We start from the raw sequence: 19,660 nt of genomic DNA on the forward strand, positions 1-19,660 counted from the left end.
ATTATATTTTGTCATCTATATATCTATATATATGCATTATAACGCAGTTGCACAAACATTTGATTCTCACCAGGTAAGCAGGAAGACATTTTGCAGAAGAGAATATTGTGATTCAGAGAACTCAAATGACTTGCCTATGATCACACAGCTAGGACAAAATTCCTAGTGAGTCCCTGAGCCTTAAAAAAAAGATTTTTTTTAAGTCCAAGATTGTCCAAGTGTGGTGGCTCACACCTGTAATTCCAGCACTTTGGGAGGCTGAGGCGGGCAGATCACCTGAGGTCAGGAGTTCAAGACCAACCTGGCCAACATGGTGAAACCTCGTCTCAACTGAAAATACAAAAATTAGCCGGGCATGATTGTGGGTGCCTGTAATCCCAGCTACTCGGGAGGCTGAGGCAGGAGAATCACTTGAACCCGGAAGGCAGAGGTTGCAGTGAGCCAAGATTGTGCTACTGCACTCCAGCCTGGGTGATAGAGCAAGACTCTGTCTCAAAAAAAAAAAAAAAAAAAAAGTCATCTCCTTTGTAAAGCTTTCTCTGATTTCTACATTTATTTTTCATTTTTAATTAATTAATTTTTAAATTTTTACCTATTTATTTTTTGAGACAGTATTTCACTCTGTTACCCAGGCTGGAGTGCAGTGGTGCAATCTCAGCTCACTGCAGCCTCGACCTCCTGACCTCCTGGGCTCAAGCAATCCTTCCAACTTAGCCTCCCGAGTAGCTGGGACCACAGGCACACACCACCACTCCCGGCTAATTTTTTGTATTTTTCGTAGAGAAGGGGTTTTGCCATATTGCCCAGGCTGGTCTTGAACTCTTGAGCTGAAGCAATTCGCCCACCTCAGCCTCCCAAAGTGCTGGGATTACACGTATGGGCCACTGCGCCTGGCCTTTAATTTATTTTTAATTCTTTTATTGAGACAGGGTCTTGCTCTGTCACCCAGGTTGGAGTGCAGTAGTGCGATCATAGCTCACTGCAGCCCCAACCTCCTGGGCTCAACTGATCCTCCCACCTCGGCCTCCCAGGTAGCTGGAACTATAGGCACATGCCACAACAGCCAGCTAATTTTTATTTTTTTTGTAGAGACGGGGGTCTCACCATGTTGCCCAGGCTGGTATCAAACTCCCGGGCTCAAGCAGTCCTCCTACCTTGGCCTCCCAAAGTGCTGGGATTACAGGCATGAGACACCGCTCCCAGCCAGCCTACTTTTTTGAAAATATGACTTAGTTTCTCAAAGGTAGAAGTGTTGTATCAAAGACTGACTATGTGAAACGCTTAATATTAAAAATGTTGGTTCTGTGCCAGGTGTGGTGGCTCAAGGCTGTAATCATTGCATTTTGGGAGGCCAAGGTAGGTGGGTTGCTTGAACCCAGGAGTTCGAGACCAGCTTGGGCAACATGGCGAAAACCCATCTATACAAAAAAATACAAAAAACAAAAAATTAGATGGGAGTGGTGGCTAGCACAGTAGTCTCAGCTACTTAGGGGGCTGAGACAGGAGGATTGCTTGAATCTAGGAGGTCAAGGCTGCAGTGAGCTAATATTGAGCCACTGCACTCCAGCCTGGGTGATGAAGTGAGAACCTGTCTCAAAAAAAAAAAAAAAAATTAGTTCTTTGAACCAATAGCAAAGAATGATTCCAAAATCGCCCTGTATTGGAGGTAGAATCTAGTTATTCTTCCTGGTTTTTCTTTTTCAGTTTCTCAAAGCCCACCCTCCACTTATATAACTTTTATCTGAGGAAACATATGTAACTTATTTCTTCTGTTAATTGTTGGAAAAATGATTAGTAATTTGGTTTGGGAGTACACAGAAAAATTGAGGAAGGCCTTTTATTTCCTAGTTTTATGTCTTCTTTCCCTTCCTTAGTGCTGGTATGGTTTCCTGGCACTGATTTTGAAAACTATAATTACTGGGCCATGGCTACTATCTGTTTCCTTGAGAAGAAATGTGGGAAGGAACTTGCCATGAAGTACATAGGGTGGAGTATAGTAGGGAGGGAGGTGTTTGTTTGATCTGAGAAGTGGTTGAGATGGCCACAAAGTTAAGGGGAAAAAGCTCAGGCCAAGGTGGAAATGCTCCCTTTTTTTTTTGAGGGTGGGGAATGAAGTCTCACTCTGTTGCCCAGGCTGGAGTGCAGTGGCATGATGTTGGCTCACTGCAATCTCCGCCTCCCCGGTTCAAGTGATTCTCCTGCTTAAGTCTCTCAAGCCGCTGGGATTATAGGTGCCAGCCACCACACCCGGCTAATTTTTGTATTTTCAGTAGAGTCAGGTTTTGCCATGTCCGCGGCTGCTCTCAAACTTCAGACTTCAAGTGATCCACCCGCCTTGGCCTCCCAAAATGCTGGGATTATAGGCGTGAGCCACTGCACCTGCCCAGAAATGCTCCTCTTTTTGTTTTTTGGGTTTTCTTTTGAGAGGGAGTCTCACTGTGTCTCCAGGCTGGACTGCAGTGGCACAATCTCAGCTCACTGCAACCTCGGACTCCTGGGTTCAAGCGATTCTCCTGCCTCAGCCTCCCAAGTAGCTGGGATTACAGGCATGCACCACCATGCCCAGCTAATTTTTGTATTTTTAGTAGGGACGGGGTTTCACCATGTTTACCGGGCTGATCTTGAACTCGTGACCTCAGGTGATCCTCCCACCTCAGCCTCCCAAAGTGCTAGGATTACAGGCATGAGCCACTGCGCCCAGCCAAATGCTCCTCTTTTTAATCAATGTAATGTAACATGTAGTTAAAAATCACATGATATTAAATGATTTTACAAAAAACAGCAGTCCTCAAGCCCAAGCCCCTTTTTCTTTTTCTTTCTTTTTTTTTTTTTTTGTTGAGACAGGATCTCACTCCGTCACCCAGGCTGGAGTGCAGTGGGGCAATCTCAGCCCCAGGCTGGAGTGCAGTGGTGCGATCTCGGCTCACTGCAACCTCCACCTCCTAGCTTCAAGCAATTCTCCTGCCTCAGCTACCCAAATAGCTGGGATTACAGGCCCACACCACCACGTCTGGCTAATTTTTGTATTTTTAGTAGAGATGAGGTTTCACCATGTAGGCCAGCTGGTCTTGAACTCCTGGCCCAAGTGATCTTCCCCCCACTTGGCCTCTCAAAGGGCTGGGATTATAAGCATGAACCACCACACCCGGCCCCCGCCCCCTTGTTTTTGAGACAGGATCTCACTCTATCACCCAGGCCAGAGTGCAGTGGCATGATCATGGCTCACTGCAGCCTTGACTTTCTGGGCTCAGGTGTACCTCCTGCCTTAGCCTCCCAAGTATCTGGGACTACAGGCACATACCACCATGCCCAGCTAATTTTTATATATTTTGTAGAGACAGGGTTTTGCTGTGTTGCCCAGGCTGGTCTTGAACTCCTGGGCTCAAGGGATCCATCTACCTAGGCCTCTTAAATCCATGCCTAGGATTACAGGCATGAGCCACTGCACCCTGCCTCTTTCAGCTTTTTCATCTGGTATGCACTTCATATTTCTTTTCTTTCTTTCTTTTTTTTTTTTTTTTTTGAGAGAGAGTCTTGCCCTGTTACCCAAACTGGAGTGCAGTGGCGCAATCTCAGCTCACTGCAACCTCCACCTCCTGGGTTCAAGTGATTCTCCTGCCTCAGCCTTCCAAATAGCTGGGACTACAGGCCCACGCCACCACGCTGGGCTAATTTTTGTATTTTTAGTGGAGATGGGGTTCCCATGTTGGCCAGGCTGGTCTTGAACTCCTGGCCTCAGGTGATCCGCCAGCCTTGGCCTCCCAAAGTGCTGGGATTACAGGCGTAAACCACCGTGCCTGGACTATTTTCCTTATTAAAAACATTTACAGATCATGTGCCAGACTAGGTGTTGAAAATATAAAAATACAACTAGGCTGGGTGTGGTGGCTCACGCCTGTAATCCCAGCTACTTGGGAGGCTGAGGCATGAGAATTGTTTGAACCCGGGAGATGGAGGATAGAGTGAGCTGAGATTGGGCCACTGCACTCCAGTCTGGCGATACAGCGAGAGCGACAGAGCCTGCTTCATACCCCTTTGTAAGCCATCCCTCCTCCTCTCTGCCCATCCCTTAAGCAACCATTGAGCTCCTTTTCTCACTATATATGTGCTAACATTACATATATATTTTGAGAGGCTGAGGTGGATGGATCTCTTGAGGTCAGGAGTTTGAGACCAGCCTGACCAACATGGTGAAACCCATCTCTACTAAAAATACAAAAAGTAGACGGGCCTGGTGGTGCATGCCTGTAGTCGCAGCTACTTGGGAGGCTGAGGCAGGAGAATCGCTTGAACCCGGGATGCAGAGGTTGCAGTGAGCTGAGATTGCGCCACTGCACTCCAGCCTGGGCAACAGTGAGAGACTCTTGTCTCAAAAAAAAAAAAAAAAAAGGAAACAAAATAAATATTAGACATATCTACTCTCTTATGGTTATAGTAATTGAAATTTTAACTCTTACATCATGCTATATTCCCACCTTTCCTTTCCCCTTACCTCATCCTCCCAATAGAAAGTTATAGCATAGTTCTGGCTGAATCAATAGTCAGTGTTTACATTAGTATTACTGTGTAAATGATATCCATTGAGGAGCCAAGTAGTATATATTGATTGTTTCATGTCTTGAACAACCCTTTATTGTTAAATTATAATTTATTTAAAATTTTACTTTGTTTACTATGTACCTATCTTCAGTTTATTTCCTAAATGTCAATTCTGGCAAATGCCTATTAATATTTTCTTTCAAATGGTCAACATATCAGATAATCTTAGACGATAATTTTTCTTTTCCTGGAAACTTGCCTCATTGTCTGCCAAGTCACTTTTTAGTCACTAGCACCACCTGCTGACTCTTGGTGAAGTGGAAAGACAGAATTATGATTCACAGGGTTGATGTTCTTAAATCGGAAAATCTCCTTTCTGTGGTCTCTGACTTTGAGAATGACATTCTGGAGGAAGGAATGTGGTCCTTGTCATAGGAGTAGCGGAGAATATAAAATCACTAAATAAGGTCTTTCCTTTGTTCTGTTATCCTCTTCTTTTGTATGTTTCCTAGAAGAAGAAAAGTCTCTGTTGTAATCTTCCTTGTCATGCTATGGTCATTCTAAGCCTTTTGTCTGATCTACCAAGAAAAGAGAGAAAGATGTGCTACTCAATTAAAAAAAAAAAAAACTACAGCTTTATTGACGTATACTTGGTGTATGATAAATTGTACATATTTAAGGTGTGTCATTTCATGGGTTTTGACATATACAAATATATATATATATCCATGAAACCACTGTCACAATCAAAATGATGAACATATCTATCACCCCCATGAGTTTCGTCATGCCCCTTTGGGTTGTTTTGAGACAGAGTCTTGCTGTATCGCGTAGGCTGGAGTGCAGTCACGTGATGTCGGCTTTGTGCAACCTCCACCTCCTGGGTTCAAGCGATTCTTGTGCCTCAGCCTCCTGAGTAACTGGGATTTCAGGCTCATGCTACCACACCCAGTAGAGACAGGGCATTTTAGTGGAGACAGGGTTTTTAGTGGAGACAGGGTTTTTAGTAGAGACAGGGCTTTTTATTAGAGACAGGGTTCTGCCATGTTGGCCAGGCTGGTCTCAAACCCCTGGCTTCAAGTTATCCACCCTCCTAAGCCTCCCAAAATGCTGGGATTGCTGGTGTGAGCCACCGCATCCGGCCTACTTCATGCCCCTTTGTAAGCCATCCCTCCTTCACTCTGCCCATTCCTTAAGCAACCATTGATCACCTTTTCTCACTATATGTTTGCTAACATTTTATATATTTTTACAGTCCATGATCTGCTGAAGATTTTTAATAATTTGATATGAATGGAAGCAGATGGTATATACTCTTTTTTTTTTTTTGCGGGGCAACAGCTTTTTTCACTTGCATAATTACTTTGAGATTTATCCATGTTGTGTATATCAGGAATTAATTTCATTTTATTGCTGTGTATTCAATTATGTGAATTTACTGCAGTTGGTGTATCCATTCACCATTTCAACATTGAGTTGTTTCCAGTTTTTGGTTATTACAGATAAAACTGTTATAAGCATTTGTATATAAGTTTTTGTGCAGCACATGTTATCATTTCTCTTGGGTCAGTACCTAAGTTTGGAATGTCTGGTTTGTATGGTAAGTGTACACTTACCTTTTAACGAACTGCCAAACTGTTTTACAAAGTAGTTGTACCATTTTACATTCCCACCAACAGCACATGAAAGCTCCACATTTTCCTAACATTTTGTATTTTATTTAACAGTCTTTTCCATTTTAACCATTCTAGTGGGTATGTAGTATTTTTTCATTGTTGTTTTCATTTGATTTGTATTTCCCCAGTGACTAATGATGTTGAGCATCTTTTCATATGCTTATTTTGAGCTACCTATTTAAAAATGCTCCATTAATAATAGGGCTAGTTGGGCTGGGCATGGTGGCTCATGCCTATAATCCCAGCATTTTGGGAGGCTGAGGCGAGCAGATCACTTGAGGCCAGGAGTTCGAGACGTATCTGGTCTGCCATTTCAAATTTCTCCTGCAATTCTTTATCCTCTATTCCCTCCTCTCCACCTCTTTTAAGGACCACAGCCATTCTGCCATTCCCTCAAAGCACTGTCTCTATGCTTTCCAAAGTAACCTTTAGCTAATGGAGAAAATAATGTGTTGTAATGAAGAAAAAAAAATTGGGGGAAGAGACATATCCAGGGCTGTCTCTTCACTTCACAGAAAATATAGGTATTTTAACTCAAAACATCCTTTTGAAGAAATACTCTTTGTATTGGTTCTCTTAAAAGAGTAACTTTATCCCTCAGGTGTGGGAATTTCAAGTGAATTGAGAAGAATTTCGGCTGGGCGCGGTGGCGCACGCCTGTAATCCCAGCACTTTGGGAGGCCGAGGCGGGCGAATCACGAGGTCAGGAGATCGAGACCATCCTGGCCAACACGGTGAAACCCCGTCTCTACTAAAAATACAAAAAAATTAGCTGGGCGTGGTGGCGGGCGCCTGTAGTCCCAGCTACTCGGGACGCTCAGGCAGGAGAATGGCCTGAACCCGGGAGGCGGAGCTTGCAGTGAGCCGAGATTGCGAGATTGCGCCACTGCACTCCAGCCTGGGCGACAGAGCGAGACTCCGTCTCAAAAAAAAAAAAAAAAAAAAAAGAATTTCACAGCCAAGTGGTAAGTGAAATTCTTTGATGACACCTGTCATGTAATACTCTTCCTTCGCGCGGGCTTAGAGCTAGCCTTATTTACTTTTTTTTTTTTTTTTTTTTGAGACGGAGTCTCGCTCTGTCGCCCAGGCTGGAGTGCAGTGGCGCGATCTCCGCTCACGGCAAGCTCCGCCTCCGGGGTTCACGCCATTCTCCTGCCTCAGCTTCCCGAATAGCTGGGACTACAGGCTCCCACCAGCACACCTGGCTAATTTTTTGTATTTTTAGTAGAGATGGGGTTTCACCATGTTGGTCAGGCTGGTCTCAAACTCCTGACCTTGTGATCCACCCGCCTCAGCCTCCCAAAGTGCTGGGATTACAGGTGTGAGCCACTGCGCTCGGCTACTTCCCAAATATTTTCAGTGCGTGGTTGGTTGAATCTGTGGATGCAGAATTAGTAGATACAAAGGGCCCTACTGTAATATTTGTTCAGGGGAGTATTGTCGGGTGTCAGGGACTGAGAGGAGAGGTGGAAGATAATGGTGAGTACTTGATTAGGGCAGGGAGGACAGGTCCTCGGTTATGGAGTACCTGAGAGGGGAGGATGAGACCAGAAACAGGGAAGATATTAAATGTAAAAGTTACCTCCTTCATAATTTTGTTCAGAGCAGCATTGTTACTTTAGAGCACCCTCATCTAGAACAGCATTTCTTCTCAGTCTTTCTTCTACAAACTAGATTCCTTCAACTTTGGGCTTTCCCTCCTTTTCCAACTCTCTCTTTTTGGCTTTATATGAGAATATGAGAAGAGAGTAGTTGTTTTTTGTTTGATAGTCTCACTCTGTTGCCCAGGCTGGAGTGCAGTGGCGTGGTCTCAGCTCACTGCAACCTCTGCCTCCTGGCCCGGGTTCAAGCAATTCTCGATTCTCATGCCTCTGCCTCCTGAGTAGCTTGGATTACAGGATTACAGGCATGGACTATCATGCCTGGCAAATTTCTTGTATTTTTAGTAGAGATGGGGTTTTACCATGTTGCCCAGGCTGGTCTCGAACTCCTGGCCTCAAGTGATCCACCCACATTGGCCTACCAAAGTGCTGGATTACAGGTGTCAGCCACCGCGCCCAGCCTCAGAGTAGCTTTTGTGGTGACATTGACCACCACAACTCCCCTTTTAGAATCTTTACCAGCTCCACAACCAGAATCTTTAATGGCTCTCTGCTTCCTTGACAATATAGTATAGTGATTAAAAATTAAGTTTCGGGATCCAAACGGCATAGGTTCAGTTTCTGGCTCTGCCATTTGTTAACTGTGTGACTGGAGGCAAGTTCCATAATTTGTTAGCTGTGTGACTGGAGGCAAGTTTCCTTATATAAAAATAGAGATAAGAATACCACCTTCCTTAGAGAGCTATGAGAATTAAGTCAATGTTTTAAAAGTGTTTAAAACATTGCCTGGCAGATTTTAAGCTTCAATAAGTGTTAGATATTAATCAAATTTAAACCCCTTACCCCCTTTTTAAGGTGCTTCATAATCTGGCCTCTGCCCATCTAACCTTCTGTCCCATTACTCCTTGTCTACTGCATTTGAGTTTTGCTCATTTCCTTGCTGAATCATGAATCCATGCATAACTCCAGATGGTTTTCATTGCCTGGAAGATCGTTAACAATTTGAATCTTACCCAGTCTTCAAAGCTCACTTCAAATCCCATCTTCTCTGTTACCTTTTATTATTCTTATTACTTTAGTTCAAATCTACCATCTTCCCATCTGAATGTACCATACTGTAGGATTTAGTGAATAATTACACACTCATCACTCTTTCATGTGAATTGGTTTTGTCTCTCCAATAGCCTGTAAACTCCCTGAGATAGCAACAGTATCTGATACTTCCGAGCCCTCTTTCAGTGGAGTGAACACATTGCATTTACTCCATTTCAAGCATCTGTAAAGAGATTCAACATAGGCAACAGAGGATGGTGTGAAGAATTTGTAGCTTTAATAACAGATTAGTTAGGGGGTAGGGATGATACTTCTGTCCTACCTGTGCCATTCTTCAAAAGCAGAGACTCCCTTCACCTAAGAGCTAGACAATGCCTGCTTCATTTTTGAATCAAGAAAGCAGAACATACCTTACACACACATATTCATCAAATAGACTTCTTTCCCTAATTATGTCTTCCTCCTTTGAGTTTCTTATGGCTAATGATCATGTCTTCTGCTTTCAGCTCTTGCCTCTTAAAAATCTCAACCCTTAAATCTTTACTGATCATTAAAACCTTCATGACCTCTAAACTTATAAGGGTGAAATCTGCAGTAAATGGATTAGAACAATTTGTTTACTATAAATGAGGCTGGAAAAATTGGTGAAGAGCCCCACAGAGATCCGGAATGCAGTAACCTTGCCCAGAATCCTTATTCTGTGATAATTTCAACCCTGGACTGCAGCCTCATCTGACTCTGGATAATGTCATTGTTTCACGTGTCTCCTAGGCCCTGCTTCCTTTAATGATTCTTTACATTCTTCTATGCCAATCTGTATCTCCAAATCATTTCCAAACTAGTAATGGGACTGATGGTCCCCTTACTGAATGCAAAGCCACAGAACAAAGAGCCCAGAAAGGAGTGGAGCTAAGAGGGTTGCTGAGGAAAGAGGAACCCCAGCATCTGAGGGGAAGAGATGCAGCTTCTCTAAGTCTGGCAGGAAGGCTCGGGCATCCTCCAGTGCTGCCTGAGCTGCCACGGTAAAGTTGGGATCACCAGAAATTAAAACATCAAAGACACAGGAATGGAAGTAAGCATCTTCCACTGGAAGCCCTTCCTTGCACAGCCGTCTGGCAGTATCAATGGTTATAGCTCCCCGACGATTGCGCTCTGATCGAGAGAGTCGCTGACTTGGAGGGCACCCCCCAACACAGAGCTGCAGGTCCTGTTCAGCTGAGAAGGCCATGGCCACATCCTCTGCTACCTTGATGGAGAAGGAGAGCTGCCCAGCTGTCTGCCGAATGATTATAGTTGTGCCAATGTAGGCAGCTTGGATCTCCACATGGTTCCCAGGGTTAGCAGTTTGAATCGACAAACTGGATCCCCCAGGTCGGTCACCTCCATTGATAGAACCATCTTCAAAGGCTACAGGAAGATTATCCACCTCAGCCTGATACACCTTCTGATCAATGCATTCCTGCATGTTCTTAAATATGATGGTGAGCTGTGAGGACAAGAGGGAAAACAGTTCATTTTGGGTTCAGTGCATCTTCCCCCCAATCAGACCTCATACATAGTTAGAGATCTGATCCAAGTAGAGATGCAGGACTACTATGGCCCTCAATCCTTGATCCCTTCTCCTATTTATGTTCCAGTATTACCTCATCCCTACTTAACCCCCTCTCTACTTAATCGTGGCAACTTCCTAGGAGAGGGAAAAGTTTCCCTTCTGAAACTCCTCAGGTCCGCCCTCTCCGACTGTCTCTTCAAGGTTTTCTGCATTTGAGTCAAATTCCCATCAAGGGGAAGTGATTTACAGCTCCAGGTGTTTGGTAGAAGGGAGTGATTCGAGATGGGGGAGAGGTTGAGGAAGAAAAGGGAATTAGGGAGCATTGCTGTTGAATAGTGGGGATGGGGAGGAATGGTGCCCGTGGAAGAATCTCATGAGGTGGATCGGAAGGAAGATTGAGTGCCTGACCTTCCGGGTGGCGGTAGCGTTGGCCCCCAACGCCATGGGGGAGCTGGTGGCTTGGACAAAGAGGAAGTCATTATCCAGTAGAGGCCAAGCTCCTTGGACACGGCATGTGTGAAAGTGATGGTGGAAGCTGCGCACATGGGGGTCCCCGAAGGAAGCGCAATGCAAGAACCCCGGGGGACGACCATGCAGCCGGGAAAACCGGCCTTCATAGTCACAAGGGTCCGGGGCAGGGAGGCCGGAGCCCGCGCCTGGAAGGGCGGGGCCCCGGGGCGGGGGAGGGGCTGTAGGGCCCTGGCGGGAGCAGTTGTGCTGGATCATCAGGTCTTCGATGCCATGTACCGCCGAATGGAAGGCGAGGTCCCCGCGGCAGGTGCGGGCGGTGCGCCGAGTGCAGAGCGCATAGGAGCGGAGGGCTCGACAGAGGCCGCCAGAGCCCACCCCTCCACCCCGGCCTCCTCCTCCTCCTCCTCGAAGTGCTCCTGATGAACCCCCACCTCTAAGGCTCAGAGTGGACGATACGTACTCAGCATTGCAGCGGAGGATCTTGCATTGAGAATGAGCTAAAGACAGAAGGGAGAGGATTGTGAGACGGTCCTCAGACCTCTGCTCTATCGGAGTGTAGTTTGCTCATAACTCTTCCAAATCTCATCAGGGGTTTCCAGCCTTCCTAAAACCTAACTAAGGGCCTTCCCCAGCCCCCAACCCCCTAGTCCCTAGTTCTCTCGGCTGTCTTACTAAAAGTGTGTAAGCCTGCCACATCTCTTCTGCCTGTCGACCAAGGGCTTCCCCAGTGGCCTTCCCCAGACTGAACGGGAAATAAAATATTAGTATTTGAGAGCAGGGCGAGTGATCGGGACTCTCAGCGCCTATCTCTCCTCACTCATTCAGGCTCACATGCCCACCCCTACATAGCAGCCTACCCTCTAGATTTCCCCAAACCCTTCCCTGGCCCTTCCTTACCATGTCCACAGAGGAGCAGCAGGAGAGTGAGAGTGCTTAGAGTTGGGGGACTGCCATGGGAGGACCTGGGACTAGGGGACTGGCCTGGCTCCCCCATACCTATCCAGCCAGGTTTCCCAGGCGCCGGTTCTTCCCAGCTGATGACCCTCCTACCTAGTGAATTTTGACCGGAAGCCCTGTAAGTGACTGAAAAAAGAAATTTGGCTGGACATGGAGAGAGAGAAGAATTGAAGATTGGTAAGGATAATGTGGAGTGAATCTGGGGAGATCAAGAAAAGGATGAACAGACTGGAATTTGGGGAGATTGGAGTTCCTCAAACTATAAGTGTGGCAGTTAAGCCTCTTTGCCCTGTTCCTGTGGCCACTTTTAGGGCCCTTGTGCAATACCCCTAGGTGGGGGTGGAGGGAAGGTTGAGTGAACTCAAGGGGGCAGAGTCCACTGTATTGCTCCATTCTGAGCTACCAAACAGCAGGTATGTCAAAGATGGAGGAATCATGGGGCTAGATCAGATACCAGTAATCCTAGTGGGTACCCTAGTAAAATTAGGACCTGAAAATATTTCAGAAACATACTTCTTATTTGTCCCTCTCCATTAGGAGGAGATGCCCTCTAGGAGTCATACATTTCTTTTCCTCCTTTGTGTCAGAACACAAGAAGGATTAAGGGTGGCATACCCATCCCGTCTAGAATATCAGTATTCAAATGAAAAGGAAACCAATCTCTTTTCATCAGCTCTAGAGAGCTGCAATTTTAATCTCCCTCTCTCATGGAATAATGGGATGCAAACCAAACATGCAAATCAATATTTGTTTTTTCTAAGTCAACAGTTCTTGTATTTTCCCAAATATCACTCCTTCCATTAATCTCTTCTTTTCAAATTCTGAAGTTCTCAGTCTTTTATGATGACAGGAGTTGGAGAGGGGCTAAATCCCTCCTGCCTAACTCCCCTATCTTATGGGTAAGGATATGATTGGGGGAAGAGTCCTGCAAGAGGGAGAATAGAATGGAGGGACTAGAGTTGTGGGGAGAAATCATTTACAGGGAGCAGCCCCCATGCTTGGAATCTCAATGTGAAGGGCATTGCTAAGTGGGGGCAGGATAGAAGGGTATCAGTGACTCATCATCTGAGGTCATATTTGGCCTTGGTAAGAAAACTACAGAATAGAGGACGTAGGGAACTCCTTCTAAAACTTCATCAGGAGTCTTGAGGTAATAAGGTAAAGAGAGGGCTAAGACTGCCAGAGGAGAGACAGAGAATTAAACTTCAAAAAGCTAGAGGCCAGAGGCCAGAAAGAAATAAGACAGAAAGAGAAATGGAGATTGGGGCACCTTGGTAGGGAGAGATCCCAGCATTTGGACGAGAGACATCCAAGTAGGTGTTTGTAATTTTATAAAAGTCTAACTTCAATATAAAAGCTTATTAAAGGAATTGCAATTTCATTTTGACTTACTGTTTCCAGAGGTCAAACATTACTCTGCTATCCAATTCTCCAGCCATGATTCCCTACTCTGTGGGTCAGCTCCAGCCAGGGGGTCCTCCGTGTCTCCCCCAGGTCCCCAGGCCGGCTGCTGTCTCACTGAGGTCAGGGAACCAGAGAAGGTTTGGTATGGGGGGAAGGGGGAGTATATGGCTGGCCAGAGTACTGGACAGCTGAGCAGGGAGGGAGGTGGCTACTGAGTTGACGGTTTTAAAAATAGCTAAGTCCAAAATTCCAGGAACGTTGGTGGGGGTAGGGTGTGGGAGTTGGGGGAGTGGGGAGGGTTAGAGGATTAGAAAGAATATGGAGTATTGAGTGCCAAGTCAGGGAGGGAGGAGAGAAATATGACAGACAAGTTGGATATCCAATTCCAGCTTGTGTGACTCTGTGGTCACTGCCTACTCCAGGCAGCCCTCCAGCATTTTCAATAATGTTGAGCTCCTGGCCTTTAAAAATTACAGTGGGCAATTGGATACCTTTCATTTACCATGTTCATCCCTGCTATGCTGAATATTACATTTAGGTTCTACAGATAGTATCTAGGAGGTAGCTGACTTTGAATAAGATCCATAGCAGAGGTAGTTCATAGCCCCTCTCCTATCTTTGCAGAGTATTTCAGAAGGACGAAAAAAGCCAGCTGTCCAGAGAAGAAATCTGAGCTGTGAGTTGCTTAGGATGAGGGTTTGTTCAGTCTATCCAGCTCAGATCCTTGCAGCTGTCTATCCTCCTACCTACTCCATTTTCATTACTTTAGTTTGTACAGCAATTCATCTTCCTCTCCCTCATGAATACACAAAAAATAAAGGCTCCCGATTTGCTTGGAGAGAAGGCTAACAAAGGCAAAGAGGTGAAGAAAGAATGGAAATAGAATTCTTCTAAAGAAAGAGTTGGAGAAATAGAAAAAGATTCAAAAATATACTTTTCCTTCCTTCCTTCCTTCCTTCCTTCCTTCCTTCCTTCCTTCCTTCACTCCCTCCCTCCCTCCCTCCCTCCTTCCTTCCTTCCTTCCGAGATGAGGTCTCACTATGTTGACCAGGCTGGTCTTGAACTCCTTGCCTCAATGAATCCTTCCATCTCAGCCTCTCAGAGTGCTGGGATTACAAGTGTGAACCAACATGCCTAGCCTCAGAAAGATACTTTTATGGAATAACATAATCTTGTGACCATAAATATTGCAAAATCTCAGCACTTTGGGAGCTGAGGCAGGAGGGTCACTTGAGCGCAGGAGTTTGAGGCTGCAGTGAGCTATGATAACGCCATTGCACTCCAGCCTGGGCAACAGTGAGACCCGCCCCCCCACCCCCCTTAAAAAAGAAAAGAGATACTGCAACCAAGGGATTTAGCCATGTCATGTTTTTGCAGCCATAGGTATATCTGAGATCATCATCTTTTAGTACTTGCCAAGTGAAATTAACAGAAGGACCGATTCCAAATACGGTCACTGTATTAGGGTTCTCTAGAGGAACAGAACTAATAGGGCATATATCTATATCTGTATCTACCTCTATCTATATAGAGATCTATATCTATATCCATGTCTATCTATCTAGCCATCTAGACTGGCCATCACCAGTCTGCTTTCTGTCTCTCTAGATTTATTAATATCTATATAGATATGGATATCTATATAGGTAGATATATAAATAAAGGGGAATTTATTAAGTATTAACTTACACAATCACAGGGTCCCACAGTAGGCTGTCTGCAAGCTTGAGGGGCAAGGAGAGCCAGTCTCAGTCTCAAAATTGAAGAACTTGGAGTCTGATGTTCAAGGGCAGGAAGCATCCAGCATGGGAGAAATATGTAGGCTGGGAGGCTAGGCCAGTCTCTCCTTTCATATTTTTCTGCCTGCTTTTTATTCTAGCTGTGCTGGCAGTGAATTAGATTGTGCTCACCCAGATTAAGGGTGGATCTGCCTTTCCCAGCCCACTGACTCAAATGTTAATTTCTTTTGGCAACACCCTCACAGACACACCCAGGATCAATACTTTGTATCCTTCAATCCAATCAAATTGACACTCAGTAATAACCAACACAATCACTAAGCCATCTTTACCAGTTGGCTCTATTTTAATACAGAGTCTAGAGGCCCTCATAGCACTCTTCTCAGGTATATATATGACAAATATTTTTGTCAAATATATACTTCTCAGGTATATATATATGACAAATATTTCTCAACCATTAGAGGCCATATCACAAGCAGTTTCATTATAGAAATGTAAAATGCTTCTAACCAAACTATTCAAGTGACTTTAAAACATAATAATTTGACTATGACAGCCTAAGTGGGATATACTATAATGCCAGAAAATAAATGCAAAAATATTTTTAAATAGCCATATTATGGTGTTAGTGTTGGTATTGTTATTCTGAGATTATTTTAGTTATGAGATAAAACAAATGATTAATAATGTTAGTGTCTCTGAGAACCAGAATTTTTGGGGTGGAATAAAGAGATACATATTTACGATTGATGAAGTTAAGAGAAAACTCCGTAATTCTGAATTTAAATTGCAAATATAACTCTGAACTCATGGTTTATTTTATCCTTAAAATTTTCCTAGCTTTACCCTAAAAAGGCCTGGAAACAATGATCCAGTAAAAATAAACACCTCTAGTACTCAAATTGTGCTATGTAAATACCATTTTCTGTTAAAAGGGACCAACAAACAACTCCTTGGATAAGTGGCTGATTTCAGGTTTGGGGCAGGTATTGTCCAAGATAGGCAAGGAAGCTTTCAAAGAGTGTTAGGATTGTAATAAAAGAACTTAGGAGCCAACTAGAATAGTTCCCATTGGCCAAAGATGGGGCAATTTAAGTATCAAAATGGATACTATCTGCAATGGATTGAAATTCATAAAATATGTTTAAATCCATGAATTCACAATGATACTTAAAAATACAAACCCATTGGTCATTGTTGGAGAATGCTGGCAGATCAACTCATTATTTTAAAAACTGCTGGTAATTGGAAAGAATCAAGTATTTATCCTGGTTTTCTTTTGGGAACTGTATCTCAAGATGAGGGGGAAATTTCTCTTTATAGAAGCATTCCAGTAAATAATTGAAGAAGGGATAATATAATTAGAATATCAACATTTTGTAAATCCAAATGAATTAATATATCTAGGCAATGGTCAACAATGACTGTGGCAGGGCACAGTGGCTCACACCTGTAATCCCAGCATTTTGGGAGGCTGAGGTGGGAGGATTGCTTAAGCCCAGGAGTTCAAAACCAGCCTGGACAACATAGTAAGAGCCCATCTCTACGTAAACAAAAAAACAGTGGCTGTTATTCATCATGAAAACAGAGATAAACATGTTTTCCTGATCATAGAGTACATAACTCCACCTTGCATGAAGTAGCCATACCAAAAACAAACAAACAAACAAACAAACAAACAAACCAGTCTGAATCTGATTAGAGCTAACTACTAATTTACAGGAAATACAGGAGACATTAAGTGGTAACTCAAAGGTGCAAATTCAGACTTTGTGAATACTCTACAGGACAAATGACCTGGGTTCGTTCTTTCTTTTCTTTTTCTTTTGAGACAGGGTCTCCCTCTGTCACCCAGAGATCTCGGCTCACTGCAGCCTCTGCCACCTGGGTTCAAGTGATTCTCATGCCTCAGCCACCTGAGTAGCTAGGATTACAGGCATGTGTCATCACACTCAGCTAATTTTGTATTTTTAGTAGAGATGGGGTTTTGCCATGTTGGCCAGGCTGGTCTCGAACTCCTGGGCTCAAGTGATCCGCCCACCTTGGCCTTCCAAAGTGCTGGGATTACAGGCATAAGCCACTGCGCCCTGCCAATATGTTCTTATATAAATATGTATATATTACATACACACACACAAATATGTGTGTGTGTGTGTGTGTGTATATATATGTATATTCTTCACATAGTCAATTGATATTGGAGAAATTTGACCATTATCTTTGTCAAAGCTCATTAACTAAACACCACTGGAAACAAATCTGTAGTCAAAAAAGTTAAATCTACTGGCTTGCTGTAGCAAGGGAGAGAATGCCCCAAAGGAATTATGGGACCATTTCCCTAAGGAGAGGTTAAAAGGAACCTCTTATAGAGTTTCAGCTTCTGTTGGATATTTCTGAACTACAGTTTAGAATAGTGAGGGCTGATTTTGTTGTTTGTTTGTTTTTTCCTAGTCTCTAAAACTCTGAATGAGGACTAATTTGGGATTGAATACTGTTAAGAAGTGGGGGCGTTTCAGTGATTGGGTGTCTAAATAATTCTTACCTAGGAAGCAAGAGGATTATAACCCAAATTGGTAAAGAGAAAAAAGCATTAGTTACTCATGTTAGTCTGAAGAGGGGATTATCTGGTCATTTTTGTGGTAGCAGAGTGGTGTGTCATCTCTCTTTTGTTGAGAATACAGTTGTGGTGTGGCTCTGATAAGCCAAGAGATAGTAACTGCCAACCTAGACTTCCATACTCAGCTAAAATATTATTCCAGAATTAAAAATAAGTAAAACATTTTCAAACACATCAAAACCTGAAGGAATTTACCAACAAAGATTCTTTTTTTTTTGAGACAGAATCTTACTCTGTCACCCAGGCTGGAGTGCAGTGGTGTGATCTCAGCTCACTGCAACCTCCACCTCCTGGGCTCAAGGGATCCTCCCACCTCAGCCTCCCAAGTAGTTGGGACCACAGGTGTGCACCACCATGCCAGGCTATTGTTTGTATTTTTAGTAGTGGTGGGGTTTTACCATGTTGGCCAGGCTGGTCTCAAACTCCTGACCTCAAGTGATCTGCCCCCTCAGACTTCCAAAGTGTTGGGATTATAGGTGTGAGCCACTGCACTTGGCTGATGTCGTCAACAATTTTTTAGCCATTCTGATAGGTGTGTAATGATATCTAATTTGGGTTTTAATTTGTATTTCCCTTATGGCTAATGATGTAGAAAATATTTTTATGAGCTTATTTGCCATCTGTATATCGTCTTTGATGAGATGTCCCTTCATGAAGTTTTGCTTGTTTTAGCATTTTCTCATTGGAAAAAAAAGAAAAAAAAATCAGTTGGGTATATTTGTGTGGGTCTACTACTGGGTTTTCTATATTGTTTCACTGATCTGTATATTTATCCCTCTGCCAATACCACACAGTCTTTAATTCATGTAATTCTTTTTCTCTTCTTTTTTCTTTTCTTTCTTTCTTTTTCTCTTTCTTTCTTTCTTTCTTTCCTTCCTTCCTCCCTCCCTCCCTTCCTTCCTTCTTTCCTTCCTTCTTTCTTTCTTTCCTTCTTTCTTTCTTTCTTTCTTTTTTTTTGAGACAGTCTCCCTCTGTTGCCCAGGCTGGAGTGTAGTGGCATGATCTCAGCTCACTGCAACCTCCCTGCCTTGGGCTCAAGTGATTCTCCTGCCTCAGCCTGCCGAATAGCTGGGATTACAGGCACACACCACCACGCCTGGCTAATTTTTGTATTTTTAGTAGAGACGGGGTTTCGCCATGTTGGCCAGGCTGGTCTCCAACTCCTGACCTCAAGTGATCTGCCCGCCTCGGCCTCCCAAAGTGCTGGGATTACAGGTGTCAGCCACCGCGCCCAACCTCATTTAATTATTTTTAAAAATTGTTTTAGCTATGTCCGCTTCTTTGCCTTTGATATAACTTTTAGAATAATCTTGTCTTTTTTTTTTGAGACGGAGTCTCGCTCTGTCGCCCAGGCTGGAGTGCAGTGGCGTGATCTCGGCTCACTGCAATCTCCGCCTCCCGGGTTCACGCCATTCTCCTGCCTCAGCCTTCCGAGTACCTGGGACTACAGGCGCCCGCCACCACGCCCGGCTGATTTTTTGTATTTTTAGTAGAGACAGGGTTTCACTGTGTTAGCCAGGATGGTCTCGATCTCCTGACCTCGTGATCCGCCCGCCTCGGCCTCCCAAAGTGCTGGGATTACAGGCGTGAGCCACCGCGCCCGGTCTCTTGTCTTAAAGTTACAGATTTTTAAAACAAGGTCGTGGCTCATGCTGTAATTCCAGCACTTTGGGAGGCCGAGGTGGGTGGATCGCCTGAGCTCCGGAGTTCAAGACCAGCCTGGCCAACATGGTGAAACCTTGTCTCTACCAAAAATACAAAAAAATTAGCTGGATGTGGTGGCATGCGCCTGTGGTCCCAGCTACTCTGGAGACTGAGGTGGGAGGATCGCTTGAGCCTGGGAGGTGGAGATTGTGGTGAGCTGAGATCCCGCCACTGCACTCCACCTGGGTGACAGAGTGAAACCTCATCTCGAAGGAAATAATAATAATAATAGTAATAGTAATAATCTTGTCTGTATCTGTAGAAAATCCTGCTAGGATTTTCCTTTCTTCTTCTTTTTTTTTTAGATGGAGTCTCACTCACTCAATGCTCAATGTTGCCCAGGC

The 19,660-nt window shown here is 44.2% G+C and overlaps 1 protein-coding gene across 6 annotated transcripts; it reads right to left on the reverse strand.

Annotated features, from left to right (window-relative positions):
• HJV (hemojuvelin BMP co-receptor) lies at positions 9,125-13,390 on the reverse strand. Of its 6 annotated transcripts, none has more exons than NM_001316767.2 (4): positions 13,242-13,390; positions 11,790-11,975; positions 11,353-11,389; positions 9,125-10,355 (listed from the first exon to the last, which is right to left on the reverse strand). In NM_001316767.2, exon 4 carries the CDS (start codon positions 10,332-10,334, stop codon positions 9,732-9,734), a length of 603 nt encoding a protein of 200 aa, NP_001303696.1. In that variant the 5' UTR covers positions 10,335-10,355; positions 11,353-11,389; positions 11,790-11,975; positions 13,242-13,390; the 3' UTR covers positions 9,125-9,731. The 6 variants fall into 6 exon arrangements, with proteins under 6 accessions (NP_001303696.1, NP_998818.1, NP_001366281.1 ...); NM_213653.4 differs by having other exon boundaries at positions 10,830-11,389; NM_001379352.1 differs by having other exon boundaries at positions 10,830-11,389; positions 11,790-11,993.

Source organism: Homo sapiens, chromosome 1 (genome assembly GCF_000001405.40).
Source record: "Homo sapiens chromosome 1, GRCh38.p14 Primary Assembly".
Lineage (NCBI taxonomy): Eukaryota > Metazoa > Chordata > Mammalia > Primates > Hominidae > Homo > Homo sapiens.